At 44.4% G+C, this 17872-nt stretch overlaps 1 long non-coding RNA gene across 1 annotated transcript in view, besides 2 other annotated features; it reads left to right on the top strand.

Annotated features, from left to right (window-relative positions):
• LMCD1-AS1 (LMCD1 antisense RNA 1) overlaps positions 1–17872 on the top strand; it is a 280512-nt gene that overhangs the window by 44910 nt on the left and 217730 nt on the right. The window lies entirely within an intron of this gene.
• Positions 78–644: an enhancer, noted in NCBI's record as "OCT4-NANOG hESC enhancer chr3:8497791-8498357 (GRCh37/hg19 assembly coordinates)". NCBI's record gives its function as "activates a minimal SCP1, AML or CMV promoter by ChIP-STARR-seq in primed H9 embryonic stem cells {active_cell/tissue: H9 hESC(primed)}" and the evidence as "EXISTENCE:reporter gene assay evidence [ECO:0000049][PMID:30033119]".
• Positions 15445–15962: an enhancer, noted in NCBI's record as "NANOG-H3K27ac hESC enhancer chr3:8482473-8482990 (GRCh37/hg19 assembly coordinates)". NCBI's record gives its function as "activates a minimal SCP1, AML or CMV promoter by ChIP-STARR-seq in naive H9 embryonic stem cells {active_cell/tissue: H9 hESC(naive)}" and the evidence as "EXISTENCE:reporter gene assay evidence [ECO:0000049][PMID:30033119]".

Here is a 17872-nt window from a genome sequence, read left to right as displayed (position 1 = left end):
GGCCTCTTAGAGTGGCTCACGTCACCCAGCCACAAAGGACTGAGGCCTCCTTCTCCAGCATCAGAGTGTACATACCAAAGGCCTGCAGTTCCCCAGTCTTTCCTTGCCCTCTCTTTCCCCAAGTCATTGTGCGTGCCATTCTCTCTGCCCAGGACTCTTTCCACAGCCAGCTTTATTTACCCAGCTGACTTCTGTTTGTCTTTCAAATATCAGTTTGTGGCATCTCCTCCAAGAAGACTTTCTTGACTGTATCCTCTCCCCCCTGGGGCTGTATCCTATCCCCTTCTCAGTTCCTTTGAAATGAAACCTTAGTGTTTCATTTATCCCATTCAACCGCGATTGTCTGCTGACTGTCCCCTTCTCAACTGTGATCTCCTGGAAGGCAGCGACTGTGTCTGTTTTGGTTCCTGCTGTGTCCCTGATTCCTAGGGTTTTGTCTGTCATGAGATGAGCAGTACATGTTTGCTGAATATACAATGAATGAATGGCCATGAAGATATTCACAGAGCCCCCACCTCCAACTCCAAGCTCTTACTTAGGCGGGTATTTCCAGTGACCGCTCATGACTGTGTTTTTGTGGGTCAGTTGCTGAATAGTCATCCATCTAAAGTTTTCATTCCTTCTGGAGTTGAGTTACTTAAATTCCCTTAGTTGGTAACTTCCAGCTACTCCAAGTTAGTCTGGGGACTCTGGTTTGGATTCAGACAGACCTGTGTTTAAGAGCCCACTTTGGTCACTTACAGGGTGAACTTGTGTGATTTTCTTAAAGTCCATAAGCTTTAGTTTCACCATCTGTAAAATGGGGCTGATGTTGACAACCCTATCTCATAAGGAGATGATGAGAATTAAATGAAAAGATGCACATAAAATGCTTCACATAGCATCCCCCAAAACACCAAATATTCAATTAACATTCTCAGTGGTTATTACGATGACACTTTGTGCCAGTCCTTAGGAATGGTGCTGGAGAGAGGAGTATTTCTCCTAGAATGGTAGAAAGCTGACATTTTATGCCCTTTATCACAGAGGAAGAAAGAATGCAGGGCTTCCACCTTGCATTTCCAATAATTATGGTTTTCCATAAATAGTTTCTTTTTTAAAAACAAAATGTAAGAATGTTTGAGTCCAGCCCAAGAATGTATGTTATGTTCTTTAAAAAGGAAATATCAACAGAGTTTTGGGTGACAACCAGTCTCATGTCGATCTTTCAAATAAAGCAAAGATGGAAAATATTTACAAAGGATTTTATCCGAGGGAAGTTAATTCTGAGTTTCCTTCTAATTCTGAGGACAAGGGGGTCAAATCATTTTGTGTAGCAAGACTTTTGGAATGGGCATTGTAAAAGTTGAAAGAACACAGCTGCTCCCTGTGGAGCATGGTGTGGGTGGCCTTGGAGAGGCAGCCAGGGTGGTGGGAAGACAAGGTCTGGACTCTACCTCCCCTTTGCATAGGTTGACATCTCTGAATCTCAGTTTGCCCATCTATGAAATGAGCATTATGGAAGGTAGCTGGCTAACAAGAGAGATGTGAGGACTGAGTATACAAAACACATTTTCCACAGCATCTGGCACATCACAGGTCTTCACAGATGTTGGTGTTTTTTTCTCAGTCCTCCTCCACCTCTTTGTCCTCCTCTTCTTCTTTAAAAACTACTTCCTTTAATACTATTACGACTTCTTCTATCACTATTATTACTACTTCTAGTATTACAACTTCATCTATTAACTACTTTCGTTTCTTTTACTACTAATTCTGTTTTCACTGCTGCTACTACAACTATGTCTATTACTGCGACTACCACAATTACTACTGTGATTTCTTCTATAAGTTCTACTTCTTCTACCACTACTGTTACTACTATATCTTCTTCTTTTTCTTTTCCTCCTCTTCCTTTTTTTCTTCTCCTCCTCTTTCTCTTCTTCTTCTACTACTACAGTAACTTCTACTGCTATTTATATTAATGTTGCTAATCCTCCTCCTGCCACTACTTCTATTACTACTGCTACTCAACTGCTACTACTTCTGTTATTACTTCTTTTCTGTTACTATTGTTTCTTCTATTACAGCTACTACTTCGATTATTACTACTACTGGTACTTCCGGGGCTTCTACTACCACTACCACCTGAGTTAATCCAATCAGCTCATTTTTTGAGTGGGATAAAGAACCCACACAAGATCAGAATTTGCAAGAGTTAGAAGTGGGACCAGAAATCAGGTCCCCTAACTCATAGACTCATGTTCTTTTCATTCCTCCATAATCTAGCATTGCAGGACTATGTATTACAATAGTAATTCATGATCATGGAAACTGAAAACAATTGACTAAATAAATATGAGGCTCAAGGGTATACTTACTGGCTGTATGATTGTAGGCAAATACCTCACTTTTCTCACCAGCAAAATGGAGATTATAGATTGCTTATTTCATCCAGTTGTTGTGAGGACTACATGAGTCAATACAGGCCAAGTGCTTACACTAGATACTGGCATGCTTCTAACCAGTGGGAAACTCACTTGTCCTTGTCCCCCTTCCCAGCCCTCTGCAACCATTTGTCTCTTTGGTTCTCTCTCCTCCCTGCAAAAGGAAGGAGTATCTCAGCCATTGCCTAGGCAAATATCAGACTGGATGACCAGATGATGTAGTTCCCTTACTCGTAGGCACCACTGACTAACTACTCCAACCATCTCTCTGTCTCTGTCTTTCCCTCCTTGTCTTCTTCCTTTCCCTCTCCCCATCTTCCTCCCTCTTTCCTTCCTTCTTGTCCAACACCCCCTTAGTCTCCTGCCCTGGTGGTGGTGTGCTGGGGCTGGAGCTGGGGCTGCTGGCCAGGGATGGCTGCATCTCCATAGGTGCTGGTGGGGTCCTTGATGCCTTGGAGTCAGCAGAGATCAAGAGCAGACACTGGAGTCTGCTCAGGTGGAAATCCTGCTCTGACAGTACCATCTTTATGGCCTTGGGAAAGTGGCTTAACCTCTCTCAGTCTCAGCTTCCACATCTCTTGTGAGGGCTAAATAACTTAATATATGAAAATCTCTTAGTACAAGGCCCAGCACATTTTAAGTGCTAAGTCAGAGAGAGTCCCCCTTCACATCCTCTGTGTGTGTGTATTATTGATGTGTGTGTGTATTATGGATGTGTGTGTATGTGAATGAGAGACAGAGAGAGAGAGAGAGCTGACACGCCAGGCATTCTCTGTTTATGCTTTGTGATGATGGGAGAAGAGGAACAAAAACCTAAGTGGAGGTCTGGATGGGGCCTACTGGAGCAATTTCTTCCAGCCCTGAGAGTGTGGAACATGATTAGAGACCTTCTTCCAGGTCTGTCTCCGCCTCCCCTTCTGTAAAGCCAGACCAGAGTGGAGCAAAGAGCCTCAGGGTGTGGGGGCAGCAGTGACCTTTGGGTTCCAGTCAGACTGTGAACAGCTCTGGGTCGCCACTGACACATTGAGAAGGAGAGGGAGTACCACAGAGCCAGCCTGCCGGGATTTGGGTCCTGCTGTGTTGTATCCTAGCTGTGGGACTGTAGGCCCATTGTTTGGCCTCGGCGTACCTTGGTTTCCTGTTTATAATGATGGCACTTAATTTATTGGGTTGGATGAGCATTAGAGTTAACATGTGTAAAGTACACGAAGAGCGCCTGGATATTGTTAGTATCATATAATTGTTCACTATTACAATTGCTATTAATTGTTGTTATATCATCAATTCTCCACAGAATCCTTTTATTCTATTTGCTCAGCCTTGCCAAGCCACCTCCCGTTGACCACACTGATACAGATTGGGTTTTCTGGAAGCAGACCCTGAACGTTTGTTAGTGATCAACACCAATGAAAGCGTGGGGAAGAAGAAGGGCTGGGCAGAGGAGAAGCTGAACTGTTATGCATGCCCCACAAAGACCTTCAACCCAGTGGAGGGCTTAGGAACTGGTACTGCCTGTTAGAGCTTTCTCCTGTGGTACAGAATGGCCAGGCCTTTATACCCCCACCTTGTTCAGTCACTGGATATAGGCTGCTCCCAGGAGGCCATGACCTTGTGTGGAATGGCTCTCTGCATCCGAGGCAGAGCCCAAAAAGCCAAGAGCTAGAGGTAGCAAATCCTTTCCTGAAGGAGGATCTGGGAAGTAGAGTTCTTGGTCTACTGGGACACACGCATTTTGAATTTTTAGGTATGCAAGCTTTATTGATCATTTTAAGATGATTCCTTCTGAGCGGTTTTCCAAGACTGGCCACAGAATCAAGAACACCCCCGAGCTGGAAGAGATCTTGCAGACCTTCTGTCAGCCCCTTCTTTACCACTTGGGATTTTGAGGTCCACAGATGGATAAGACCGGCCGAAATAAGTCACTGAGCTGGGAATAGAACAACTGAATTATGGATTTTGTTTTATTTCAAACAATTTAAATTTAGACATCTCACTGGGGCCAGTGGCTACTGTGTTGGACAGTTCCATAGCCTTAGAAGAGTGCATCCTCAATCTTACTTAAAACCCCTAATGGCATTACCTGACAGGCAACAGAGTTGAGGTCAGTTTTCTGCCCCTATTTTAGGTGTCTTTTAATATCCTTTGTTTGATTTCAATCCACTTGAAGGACTTTGTTTGCCGATCTGTAAAGATTGCTTACTTCCTTTGCTCTTCTGTGCCGCTTGCAAACGTCTAATTTTCTTATCTGCAGACTAGTAATCTCTTATATTTCATTCATAAGGCATTCATCTAAACCTTGCATTTCAGCTGCTTGAATTTTCACAAGGAACTAGCAATTCAACTCCCCAGGGGTTGATACTTCGGGTTCTCTTGTGCCGTTCTCCATCTCATTTTTGTGACTACGCATCATAATTCTTCCTCTATGAATAATCTTTTCTTCCTGCCTGGATGAGGTGGCTGCCTCTCCAGCCATCCACAGAGATGAAGTCTGATGCTCAGTGCTGGAAGTGATTTTGCTGTTTGTGTCATCAGTGATTAGAAAGAGTCAACCTGTTATTAATAATCAGAAAGCATCAACTTGTTTGATTCTGTCTTGGAGCCTTATGTCTCTGGTTCGGCTTGTGGAGGTCTAATTCTGGATACGAGATTGCTGGAGCATTTCCTGGTCGCTGCATCTAAATAAGAGCATGACTTCTATCTTTCACCTTTTTATATAGTGAGGGGAGAACAGGAAACCCAGGCAGGAGAGTTCATATGATTATAGTGGTTTGCTATTGTTTTTGACTATACAGCAATCCTCCCACTTTTTTTTTGGCAATAGCACCTTATCTTAGGCCGGGTTCCCCCAAAGCACATCCTGAGTGGGGATTTGGGTACAAATGAGTTATTAAGAGAGTGTTCCTGGAAGAAACTGGTAAGGCAGTGAGGAAGTAGGGCTGAGGCGAGGGAGATGCTGAGCAAGGGTGCCATTTAAGCAGTCCCAGCCTCAGCCCCATCCTATGGGAGCTCCGGAGTGTGAATGACACCTGACTTGAGGCAAAAGGGCTGAGTTTTCCTGTTCCCCCACCATGGGTCTCCCATGTGGGTATAAACACCCAGGCATTCTCAGCTCTCTGAGCTTGCCAATGGCTCCAGCAGCCCAGGACTATTCTTTGAAGAACATTGGTGTTAGTTACTGGTAGAGACAAAGCTGTGGGAGGGGAAGAGAAATGGTCAAAGGGATTCCAGGGAATCTGGGTGGAGTGGGCAGAAGATGTGACCACTGCATACCTCAGTTTTCCATTGAGGAAATGCCTCTTTTGTGTTCCTTTTGGACTCATCAGTCAGGATCAGGGGTTCCCAACTTTGACACTACTGACATTTGGGGTGGATTCTTTGTTGCAGGGGGATGCCTTGTGAGCTGTAGGATATTTAGCAGCATCCTTGGTTGTGAAATCCACTGATGCCCCCTGGTTGTGACAACCAACAATGTCCTCAGACAATGCCAAGTGTCTCCTAAGGAGCAAAATGACTGCTGATTCATAACCATTGGTTAAGATGAAATGCCAGAGAATGGACTTGTGACCCAAGCTGGAATAATCAGGCTCTCCCTCCTTGGAATTTAACTCTTGAGCTGAGGGATATCCTAAAGTGACTGGGCAGGAGTTCTTGCTATGTAGATGCTCACAGATGCTCTGGTTTCTGGATTCTTGAGGCTTTCTTTTCCTTTTAGTTTTCCTTTGATTCTATTATATGTCACTCCAATACCTTTCAACAAATTCTTTCTATGCTTAACTTGAGTCAATTTCTGGTTGCCTACTACAAAAAATTCTTAATGAACACAATGATTAATCTGTTACATCTTATGACTTGATAACTCTAATCTCAGAACATATAGGTATCTATAGACATTGAATGGAATGGAGAAATTAGTTTGACCACAATCACTTCTCCTTTTTTCTAATCTTCCACTTTCTATTTCTCACCTTCACATACATTTGCTTTACATTTTTCCTGGCACCGCAGGGTATGCTGGATTTGTTAACTAAGACAGTCAGCAATCTCCTCTTGAAGAAAGCCTCTTTCTTTGCTACTTCACCAAGCCTTGGTGATATGGTTTGTCTGTGTCCCCACCCAAATCTCATCTTGAACTGTAGCTCCCATAATTCCCACGTGTCATGGGAGGGACTCAGTGGGAGGTCATTGAATAATGGGGGCAGGTCTTTCCCATGCTATTCTCATGATAGTGAATAAGTCTCATGAGATCTGATGGTTTTATAAAGGGAAGTTCCCCTACACAAGCTCCCTTGTCTGCCACCATGTAAGATGTGACTTTGCTCCTCCCTTGCCTTCCACCATGATTGTGAGGCCTCCCCAGCCATGTGGAACTGTGAGTCAATTAAACCTCTTTTCTTTATAAATTACCCAGTCTTGGGTATGTCTTTATTAGCATCATGGGAACAGACTAATACGCTTGGTGACAGAAGAGTCTATTGCTTCAGGATACATCATCTTACAGGAGACGTATAACTGGATTTTTTTTCCCCAGGGATTTATCTTTTCCATGTCTAGATACAGTTCTTCCTCCCCAAAAAAGGAGTTGTTAATGGTTTTTGGACTTGGGCTGTATCCATTTTCTTTCCCTGGAAAGCTATCTAACACTGGAATTATTCCACTCCCAGAGATGTATAGTATGGACTATTTTGATGTTGATGATGGCCCTACCAGGGATGTGTGCAGCTGAATGTGTGAGCCCTCCAAGTCCTTCCCATTAAACTCCTAATATGTCATTTTCTCTTAGTTACAGCATGTATGTAGCTTTCTGAGTTGGCGTGGGGCTTTCCTACTGCAAAACATTAGCGAAAAGCATTAATAGTAGGCTGGCAGTTTTCAGAAAAACTTATCAAATCCTTATGTTTAAATCATTAGGAGTCATTTTAGCCATTTGAGAATGTTCTTTGGGAATTTGCCATTTTTAAAATATTTTCTTTTTTAAGGATTTAAGAATCATAGTCCTAATACTAATAATTACATAGTATCTCCTTTTTTCCCCCTGGCTGCTAGGAAGCTCATAGTCAAATTTGATGCTACTCATAGATTCTAAGTCATCTCTACTATTATGCTTCATATTTCCTTTCTCACTTTTTCCTTTTCCTGAATTTTCTATTCCTATTAATCTTATTATACTCCTTATTGTAGGATCCCCCAAAGCTCTTCGGAGAAATAAATAGGGTATACATGTACAAAAAATTTTTAGTTAATTGTTGCTCCTGTGAGGCTGATACTATTCTGTCAGGCATCACAGCTGTGGCAATACCTGATTCTACTGTTTTGCCACTTCTAATCTTTGGGTTTAGCAGATGGACCAGGCCCAGGCAAATAACAGACACTCGTTCAGTGCTTGATTATGTTTACTTTGTTTTGTTCATCTTTGCTTCTCTGGATTGGAAAGGGTCATGAACTGAGATACTTAGTTAAATTTAAAATGAAGGAGGGGCACTTTACATAAGAATCATAAACTGGTGGCTTGGATGAGGGCTGTCACAGCCCGTGGAAGTGTTTCATTTGCCTTTTTGTTTGGTCTGTTCAGTGTTTTAAGTGGCGACATAGCAAAGCAGAATTTACACTTTTTTTTTCTGTATTTTTTCTTTAATTTTTTTATTATTATTATTTTTTATTATTATGATACTTTAAGTTTTAGGGTACATGTGCACAATGTGCAGGTTAGTTACATATGTATACATGTGCCATGCTGGTGCGCTGCACCCACTAACTCGTCATCTAGCATTAGGTATATCTCCCAATGCTATCCCTCCCCCATCTCCCCCCACCCCACAACAGTCCCCAGGGTGTGATGTTCCCCTTCCTGTGTCCATGTGTTCTCATTGTTCAATTCCCACCTATGAGTGAGAAAATGCGGTGTTTGGTTTTTTGTTCTTGCGATAGTTTACTGAGAATGATGATTTCCAATTTCATCCACATCCCTACAAAGGACATGAACTCATCATACACTTAATCGTAAAACAAACACTGTAAGCCTATCACCTTTCACTCCTTTGGATTTGACATTCGGTGTTACTTCCTTGCCCTTGTCATTGTTTGCATTTGAGACACTTGCTTTGTGGTTATTAACCCATTTCACTAGTAGGTAATAAATGTATACCTCTAATTTAGAAATAGGTTCTGAATTAAAGGAAATGTCCAATATCGAAGAAATTCCAGATCCACCCTGAGTACCTATTTTGCTTTCTCTTTGTAAGCTCTGACATTAGATTTTTAATGGAATACTGTCTAGTGCTGAAAGTCTAACTTTGAATGCATTAACCTCTGCAGATGCATTACACCTTGACTTCTAAAAAGAGGCAACTTTCTAAGAGTGTATTTCAAGTGCCTTTAATATCCGAGACATAAAATGGCATCATATGTGTGTATGTGTTTGCATGTGCTTACTGTGTGTTGGGGAAGTGGACTGAATGTTCTCTAAGCCCTTCCAGTGCTGGGGAGTTCCCATGAGACCCTGAAACAGCCTCTGTAGCTCTCTGGGCCTCAGTTTTTTTTTTCTGAGAGACTTTGACAGCACGGATTCCAAGTCTTTGCCAGTTATGAACTTTTGTAGAACTGTCATTGCCTTGGAATTTAATTAATCTTCAAAAAGGTATGGTCTATCAGGACAGTGAAAAGACAACGGGATAAAATATTTACAAATATTTTACCTATCTAAAATATTTTATTTTAAATAGATGATTTAAAGTAAAATATTTTATTTTAAATAGATGATTTAAAGTTAAAATAGTTTATTTTAAATAGATTATTTAAAGTTAAAATATTTTATTTTAAATAGATTATTTGAAGTTAAAATATTTTATTTTAAATAGATTATTTGAAGTTAAAATATTTTCTTTTAAATAGATTATTTAAAAATATTTTCTTTTAAATAGATTATTTAAAAATATTTTCTTTTAAATAGATTATTTAAAAATATTTTCTTTTAAATAGATTATTTAAAAATATTTTCTTTTAAATAGATTATTTAAAAATATTTTATTTTAAATAGATTATTTAAAAATATTTTATTTTAAATAGATTATTTAAAATTATGTAAATATTTATAAAATATGTATAAATCACATATCTGATAAGGGGTTAGTATCAGGGATATATAACTAACTTACAACTCAACAACAAAAAAGACAAATTACCCAATTAAAAAATGGTCAAAGTTCCTGAATAGATATTTCTCCGTAGCAGATCCACAAATGGCCGGTAAGGGTGTGAACAGATTCCCAATGTTATTAGTCACTGAGGAAATAAAAATCAAAACTGCAATGAGATGATACTTCACACTCACTGGGATGGTCATAATAAAAAAAGGAAAATCACAAGTGATGGTGAGTATGTGGAGAAATTGGAACCCTAATACATTGCTGACTAAAATGTAAAATGGTATAGCCTGCTGTGGAAAACAATTTGACAATTCCTCAATAAGTTAAACACAAACTTATTATGTGACCTAGTGATTTCACTCCTAAGCGTATACCCCCAAGAATTGATAACAGATGTTCAAACAAAAACTTGCACACTATTGTTTATGGCAGCACTATTAACAGTAGTCAAGAGGTGGAAATAACCTACATCTATCAGCTGATGAATGGATAAACAAAAGGTGATCTAGAATAAATCACTGGTTCATTCTACAACATGGATGAACCTTGAAAACATTTTGCTAAGTGAAAGAAGCCATATGCCAAAGGCCATATATTGTATGATTTCATTTATGTGGAATATCCAGAAAAGACAAATTAATAGAGAGAAAAATCAGATTAGTGGTCGCCAGAGACTGAGGGGAAGCAGGAATGGGGAGTGGCTACTGAATGAGTATGGAGTCTCCTTTTGGGGAGATAAACAATTCTGGGACTAGACAGTAGTGATGGTGGCTCCGCATTGTGTATGTATTAAATGCCCACTGAATTGTCTACTTTAAAATGGTTAAAATGGTAAATTTTATGTTATGTGTATTTTACCACATGCATACACAAACCTTTCCCAGGTTACAATAAGGCATGGCCATTTTTGTTTCAATAGGATTTGTATAGATTCTTTAGATATGGGTGTATTTTTAAAACTATATAGACTATTATGAGTTTAACACCACAACTGCCCATAGTGTGATCTGTGGATCAGCAGCATTTCCATCAGCTGGGAGCTTGTTAGAAATATAAGTTCTTGGATCCCTCCCCAAACCTAGTGAGTCAGATTTTCTGGAGGTGGGCTCAGCGATCTCTGCTTTAACAAGCTCTCCAGGCACTTCCTATGCACACCAATGCCAAGTTTGAGGAGTATTTCTTTACGATTCACTAGGCCATTGGTTCTCAGCTTTTAGTGTGAGTAAGAATCAACTGGAGAGTTTGTTACACAGGCAGGTTCTTGAGTCCAGAGACTATGATTCCTTACATGTGGATGATGTTCAGAAACCTGCATTTCAACAGGCATCAAATGCAGGTGGTCCAAGGACCAATTTCTAAAATGCAGAAATAATGAAGAAAATTGATTTTTCAAACTTTATTGTGCATGAGTGTAAACTGGAAAGTTTGCTAAAATTGCAAGTTTCTGGGACCTGCCTCCAGATGTTCTGATTCAATAGGTCTAAGATGAAGACTGAAAACTCACCTTTTTAACCAATCACCTCAGTTAATTCTGAGGTCAAGAGACCACGTTTTAAAAACCACTGCCCCAGACATGAAGCTCCCTGAGGACAGAGGACAGCTTTCAAGTGATCTTGCTAGGCTAGAGCTATGGCTTCAATCTAATAAAATGGAATTCACTGGAATGGTTTGCATGTTCAGGACTTGAGCCCAGATCATCAATTACATCAGTAAAAAATCCAGGAGATGTGACTTACCTGCCATTCACGTAAAAGATACAAAGCAAAAAGAATCCCTCTGTGGTTGTATTCAGTGTTATATACTGAGGAAGCTAAGACAGACTTAGGCTTACTTAATAGAAGTGTTGTATCTAAATAGTTGGCATTCAAACTGTACACAGAATATCTTTAATTCTAGATGTTACACACTGGAGCGGAAAGTGAAACTAACATTTATTGAGGCGACTACACATTTATCTTATTTATTAAACTATTTTATTCCATTGAATGCTCATCCTATTACATAATCTTTAAAAGATTATACCCATTTTAAAGGTAAGCAAAATTGAGGCTGCCATGAAGGAGAAGTAGCTTGCCCACTGATTTTCTACTTTTCTCCAGAGTACCTTGACATCTCTTTTGCCACCAGCACTGATAGCCTCTGTGCTGGGAGATGCTCAGTACAGTCAAAGGGGATTGGTTCCAGGGCCATTGCGGATACCAAAAACTGCTCCTGCTCAAGTCCTTTATGTAAAATAGCATATTTGCCTGTAACCTATGTACTTTAGATTACTTATAATACCTAATACAATGTAAATGCTACGTAGTTAGTTTATATTTTATTTATTTAATGTACTTTACAATTCGTATTATTTGTACATTTTTTGGAGAATATTTTTCATTTGGTTGAATCCGCAGATGTGGAACTCGCACATATAGAGTGCTATAATCCCACTCTAGCAAAGTGTCCCAATGCCCCACTGTAAGCCCTGTCATATTGGGAGGTCATCCTTTGTAACATGGGAACGAAGCTGCACAGCTTCTGAGTTCAACATTTCCTCGTGGAACGATTCCAGCCCAGCGCTGGGATGACATACTGTTTGCTTTGCGTCTCTGGTATGTGCCTGGTGAAATATTTACCAACTGGTCCGCTCTGTCCACAGAGCGGCCGTGAGACTGTCTGTGTTTGCTCCAGTCAGCTTCCTGGCTCAGCCTGTTTCCTTGGCAACGGCCTTTCCTGTCAGCAGCCTTGAAGGAAGGTATAAAAGAGCACACTGTTAGGAATTGCTGTCTGGGGCCCAGCGGGGTTAGGTTTGCCTCCTGGATCCTTAACAAGGAAAGAGGAGTAAGTTCTTCTCTTAAGCATTGCCACTTGCTTTTCCTGTGTCCTGAAAACTATCTTTTCAGCTTTGTGTGTTACATCAGCCAGGAAGGTTACACTATGTGATCTGGTGGGAGTTGGGGACGTGGGGGGGATGGAGGAGGAGGCATTTCCCCACAAAGGACTGTAATTGAATCCTGTGATGGTTTTGTAGTGTAATAATCTGATTTTGATTTGTCAATTATTTTCTCTTCTCTTAAATAGCTCTCCCACATTTTCCTTCTCTGCTTTATTCAGACCTAAACATTCCTGACTTAGGAAGCTTAATGTCCCCCAGAGTGCCTTCCCCGACCACTGCTTTACCCCACCAACCTGAAGCCACTGAAGGTGTTCCTAAACCTTCAGCGGACTGAATTGCTCCTTTGCTCTGGAATTTCTGGTGACTCCCTGTTGCTACCAGATGAGCCCCAAGACCCCTATGATGGAATCCGATGTTCTCATGCTTGAATGAGCCCAGCACTGCCCAGTGGAGGTGATTGTAAGCCATATATGTCATCTTAAATTTTCTAGCAGCCACACTAACAAAGTCAAAACAAATGAGTGAAGTTAATTTTAATAATATATTTTATTTAGCTCAGTATAACCCAAATATTATCATTTCAACAGCCAAACAATGTAAAAATATTAATGAGGTATTTTACTTTATTTGCTCCCACTGAGTCTTCAAAATCGGTGTGTATTTTACACCCACAGCACATCTCAGTTCAGACCAGCACATCGCAAGTGCTCAGGGGCCTGTGGCTCTGTATCTAGCCCCTGCCTACCCTTCCTGCCTCTTCCTGCTCCACCTTCCCAAACCCTACAAGTTTCCCAGTCCCTCACATGCATGAAAACTTTTGCCATCCTGTGACCTTCTCCTGCCCTTTTGCTCCATGCTGTGCTCTTGCACTTCTCATTCCTGTTGCCTGGCTGCCCTTCTGTACTTGAACTTCTATTCATCTTTTAAACCCATGTTTAACGTCTTCTTTTTCCTTCCCTGTTTTATCTGTCCAGTAGCACCTTGTGTGTATCTCAGATATAACACTAAGTGTGTTGTATTCTGATTATTCGCTTAGAGGTCTCCTCTACCACAGGGAGCAGTTGTAAAGGCAAGGGCATGTTTTGGTCACGTTTGTGGCTCCTGGTAAATATTTGAATGAATGCATGAATGAGGGAATGAGGACATGGAAAACTGCTTTGGTGCTGATGTTAGGATGTTCCAGTTTCTCTTCTGCTGTATGAGGAGCAATGCTTCATTCCAAACTACTGTTGTCCCTGTACTTTTGGTGTTTCACTGGGAGAGTTTGAGCTTAGCTGAGCTTTCTACATCTCTTCATGTGCTGTTTTTCTTTTTTCTACCTACATTCTCACTCACTTTCTGTATCAGACAACATATACACTCAGATCTTTATCCAATGCCCAATGACATTGAGAAGCTAAATAGGTTGATTTAAAACCACACAAAACACTCCCCCTCGGACTCCCCCAAATGAAGTGCAACCTATACAATAAACGTCAAAAGTGAAAAAACAAACCCAAACCAAAACCTTCTGCTGTTTCTGGCAATCCAGGTTACTGTTCTCCACTACTGGCTATTATAATTTGCTGCTGTAAAATCAAGGAGTAATTATATTAGAATAATGGAGTTTAATGAACTAAAGAAATGCCCTGGTCTGCCTTGGAACCTGTGGCTGTGGTGTTTCTGTAATGGTGGTAGCGGGTCATGTCCCTGGGATAGATGTCATGGTATAGATGAAAGAGCCCAGGTGGAAAGTCAGAGAGTCCTGGCTGCAATCCTAGTTCAGCCCCTTCCTAGCTGTGTGGACTTGAGGAGGTAACAACCTCTTGGGCCCTCAGTGCTCCCACCTGTGAAATGGGGATAGTGGTGGTCCTGCCCTGCCGGGCATGTTCTGAGAATTAACTAAGATGCTGTGTGTTTGAGATGCAGGCGCCAGGACACCAGAGATGTGGCGTCTCCTTTGGTGACAGTTATAAAAGTCAGTCCTGCTTTACCTAGAGTGATCTGCATGCCACATTCCTTAGCTTTAAGACTTTTCCAGGGCTGAGTCCAGGAATTCTTTGGGATCAAGATTCCTTGGCTTCATTTCTCCGTTTCTAACGGGTTTTGTGTTTGGTGACATCTAGTGGTTGAATGAGGTTGTTGTCAAAGCTGAGTGCAAGGCCTCAAGTTTTCCCTCCCTTCTTCTCCACCTTCCCCAACCCCGGGGTCGCATTCCTGAAAAGCTGCCTCCTTTATCTGTCTTTCTTCAGTTTGCCTCCATGTGTCTGTGGCTCCATCTCTCTCTTGAGTCAGGCAGCATCCCAGCTCCAACACTCCTCAGCAGTGCAACCTGAGTGGCCGCATCCCCCATTTCCTCCCCTTTGGATGAGCACCACTTGGTGACTAGAGTAAGAAAGTGAGGCTGATGGCTCCCACTGTATCTCCCGTCTCATCAAAGTGTTCCTTTGCCTATGTTGACTAAAGAAAAAAGAATTGAGCCTCTTAATTTTTTTTTTTCTTGAGATGGAGTCTTGCTCCGTTGCCCAGGCTGGAGTGTAGTGGTGCCATCTCGACGCACCGCAGCCTCCACCTCCCGGGTTCAAGTGATTCTCCTGCCCAGCCTCCTGAGTAGCTGGGTCTACAGGCGTGCACCACCATGCCCAGCTAATTTTTGTATCTTTTTTTTTTTTGTTGGAGAAACGAGGTTTTGCCATATTGGCCAGACTGGTCTCAAACTCCTGACCTCAAGTGATCTGCCCGCCTCGGCCTCCCAAAGTGCTGGGATTACAGGCATGAGACACCTTGCCTGGCCACCTTAATGAATTAAAGTTAGTTCTATTCAGAAATCTTGCTGAGGGCTATAGACAGAGGCCTATAGGCTGGGAACAGCGCTGTCAGAGTTGCTTCTGCAATGCAGTATTCCCATTCACAGTTTATATACAGGTGGTGAAGATTCAGGGCGTTCAAAATCACATCAAAGTTTGGGTGTGAGAGTGCATCTGATGACAGATTGCAGAGGCATAATCACAACACCCCGCCCCCAAGCCAGACGTTATCTTACCTATAGGGCAAGGCAAGGATTACCATCATTCATCTTTTTTTTTTTTTAAATTAATTTATTTTTTATTGATCATTCTTGGGTGTTTCTCACAGAGGGGGATTTGGCAGGGTCACAGGACAATAGTGGAGGGAAGGTCAGCAGATAAACAAGTGAACAAAGGTCTCTGGTTTTCCTAGGCAGAGGACCCTGCGGCCTTCCGCAGTGTTTGTGTCCCTGGGTACTTGAGATTAGGGAGTGGTGATGACTCTCAACGAGCATGCTGCCTTCAAGCATCTGTTTAACAAAGCACATCTTGCACCGCCCTTAATCCATTTAACCCTGAGTGGACACAGCACATGTTTCAGAGAGCACAGGGTTGGGGGTAAGGTCACAGATCAACAGGATCCCAAGGCAGAAGAATTTTTCTTAGTACAGAACAAAATGAAAAGTCTCCCATGTCTACCTCCTACTACACAAACACGGCAACCATCCGATTTCTCACTCTTTTCCCCACCTCTCCCCACTTTCTACTCCACAAAACCGCCATTGTCATCATGGCCCGTTCTCATTGAGCTGCCGGGCACACCTCCCAGACGGGGTGGTGGCCGGGCAGAGGAGCTCCTCACTTCCCAGTAGGGGTGGCCGGGCAGAGGCGCCCCTCACCTCCCGGACGGGGCGGCTGGCCGGGCAGGGGGCTGACCCCCCCACCTCCCTCCCGGACGGGGCGGCTGGCCGGGCAGAGGGGCTCCTCACCTCCCAGTAGGGGCGGCCGGGCAGAGGCACCCCCACCTCCCAGACGGGGCGGCTGGCCGGGCAGAGGGGCTCCTCACTTCCCAGTAGGGGTGGCCGGGCAGAGGCGCCCCTCACCTCCCGGACGGGGCGGCTGGCCGGGCAGGGGGCTGACACCCCCACCTCCCTCCCGGATGGGGCGGCTGGCAGGGTAGAGGGCTGACCCCCCCACCTCCCTCCCGGACGGGGCGGCTGGCCGGGCAGAGGGGCTCCTCACTTCCCAGTAGGGGCGGCCGGGCAGAGGCGCCCCCCACCTCCCAGAGGGGGCGGCTGGCCGGGCGGGGGGCTGACCCCCCCACCTCCCTCCCGGACGGGGCGGCTGGCCGGGTGGGGAGCTGACCCCCGCACCTCCCTCCTGGACGGGGCGGCTGGCCTGGCGGTGGGTGACCCCCACCTCCTTCCTGGACGGGGTGGCTGCCGGGTGGTGACGTTCCTCACTTCTCAGACGGGGCGGCTTCCGGGTGGAGGGGCTCCTCACTTCTCAGACGGGGCGGCCGGGCAGAGACGCTCCTCACCTCCCAGACGGGGTCGCGGCCGGGCAGAGGCGCTCCCCACATCTCAGACGATGGGCGGCGGGGCAGAGACGCTCCTCACTTCCCAGATGGGATGGCGGCCGGGAAGAGGCGCTCCTCACTTCCTAGATGGGATGGTGGCCGGGAAGAGGTGCTCCTCACTTCCTAGATGGGATGGCGGCCGGGCAGAGACGCTCCTCACTTCCCAGATGGGATGGCGGCCGGGAAGAGGCGCTCCTCACTTCCTAGATGGGATGGTGGCCGGGAAGAGGTGCTCCTCACTTCCTAGATGGGATGGCGGCCAGGCAGAGACGCTCCTCACTTCCCAGATGGGATGGCGGCCGGGAAGAGGCGCTCCTCACTTCCTAGATGGGATGGTGGCCGGGAAGAGGTGCTCCTCACTTCCTAGATGGGATGGCGGCCGGGCAGAGACGCTCCTCACTTTCCAGACTGGGCAGCCAGGCAGAGGGGCTCCTCACGTCCCAGATGATGGGCGGCCAGGCAGAGACGCTTCTCACTTCCCAGACGGGGTGGCGGCCGGGCAGAGGCTGCAATCTCGGCACTTTGGGAGGCCAAGGCAGGCGGCTGGGAGGTGGAGGTTGTAGCGAGCCGAGATCACGCCACTGCACTCCAGCCTGGGCACCATTGAGCACTGAGTGAACCAGACTCCGTCTGCAATCCCGGCACCTCGGGAGGCCGAGGCTGGCGGATCACTCGCGGTTAGGAGCTGGAGACCAGCCCGGCCAACACAGCGAAACCCCGTCTCCACCAAAAAAATACGAAAACCAGTCAGGCGTGGCGGCGCCTGCCTGCAATCGCAGGCACTCGGCAAGCTGAGGCAAGAGAATCAGGCAGGGAGGTTGCAGTGAGCCGAGATGGCAGCAGTACAGTCCAGCTTCGGCTCGGTATCAGAGGGAGACCGTGGAAAGAGAGGGAGAGGGAGACCGTGGGGAGAGGGAGAGGGGGAGGGGGAGGGGGAGGGGGAGGGAGAGGGCAGTGTGTAACCTTTGTAACTTCACTTCAGCCTCTCATCATTCATCTTTTAAGGAATACAATGACTCAGGCAAGAGATGCAGGAGGCCGCGTGCTATAGCCTGTTCAATGTTGAGAGCATTTTTCTGGAGAGC

Source organism: Homo sapiens, chromosome 3, assembly GCF_000001405.40.
Source record: "Homo sapiens chromosome 3, GRCh38.p14 Primary Assembly".
NCBI lineage: Eukaryota > Metazoa > Chordata > Mammalia > Primates > Hominidae > Homo > Homo sapiens.
The sequence above is the reverse complement of the archived record's forward strand: the minus strand, read 5'-3'. Positions and strand labels throughout refer to the sequence as shown.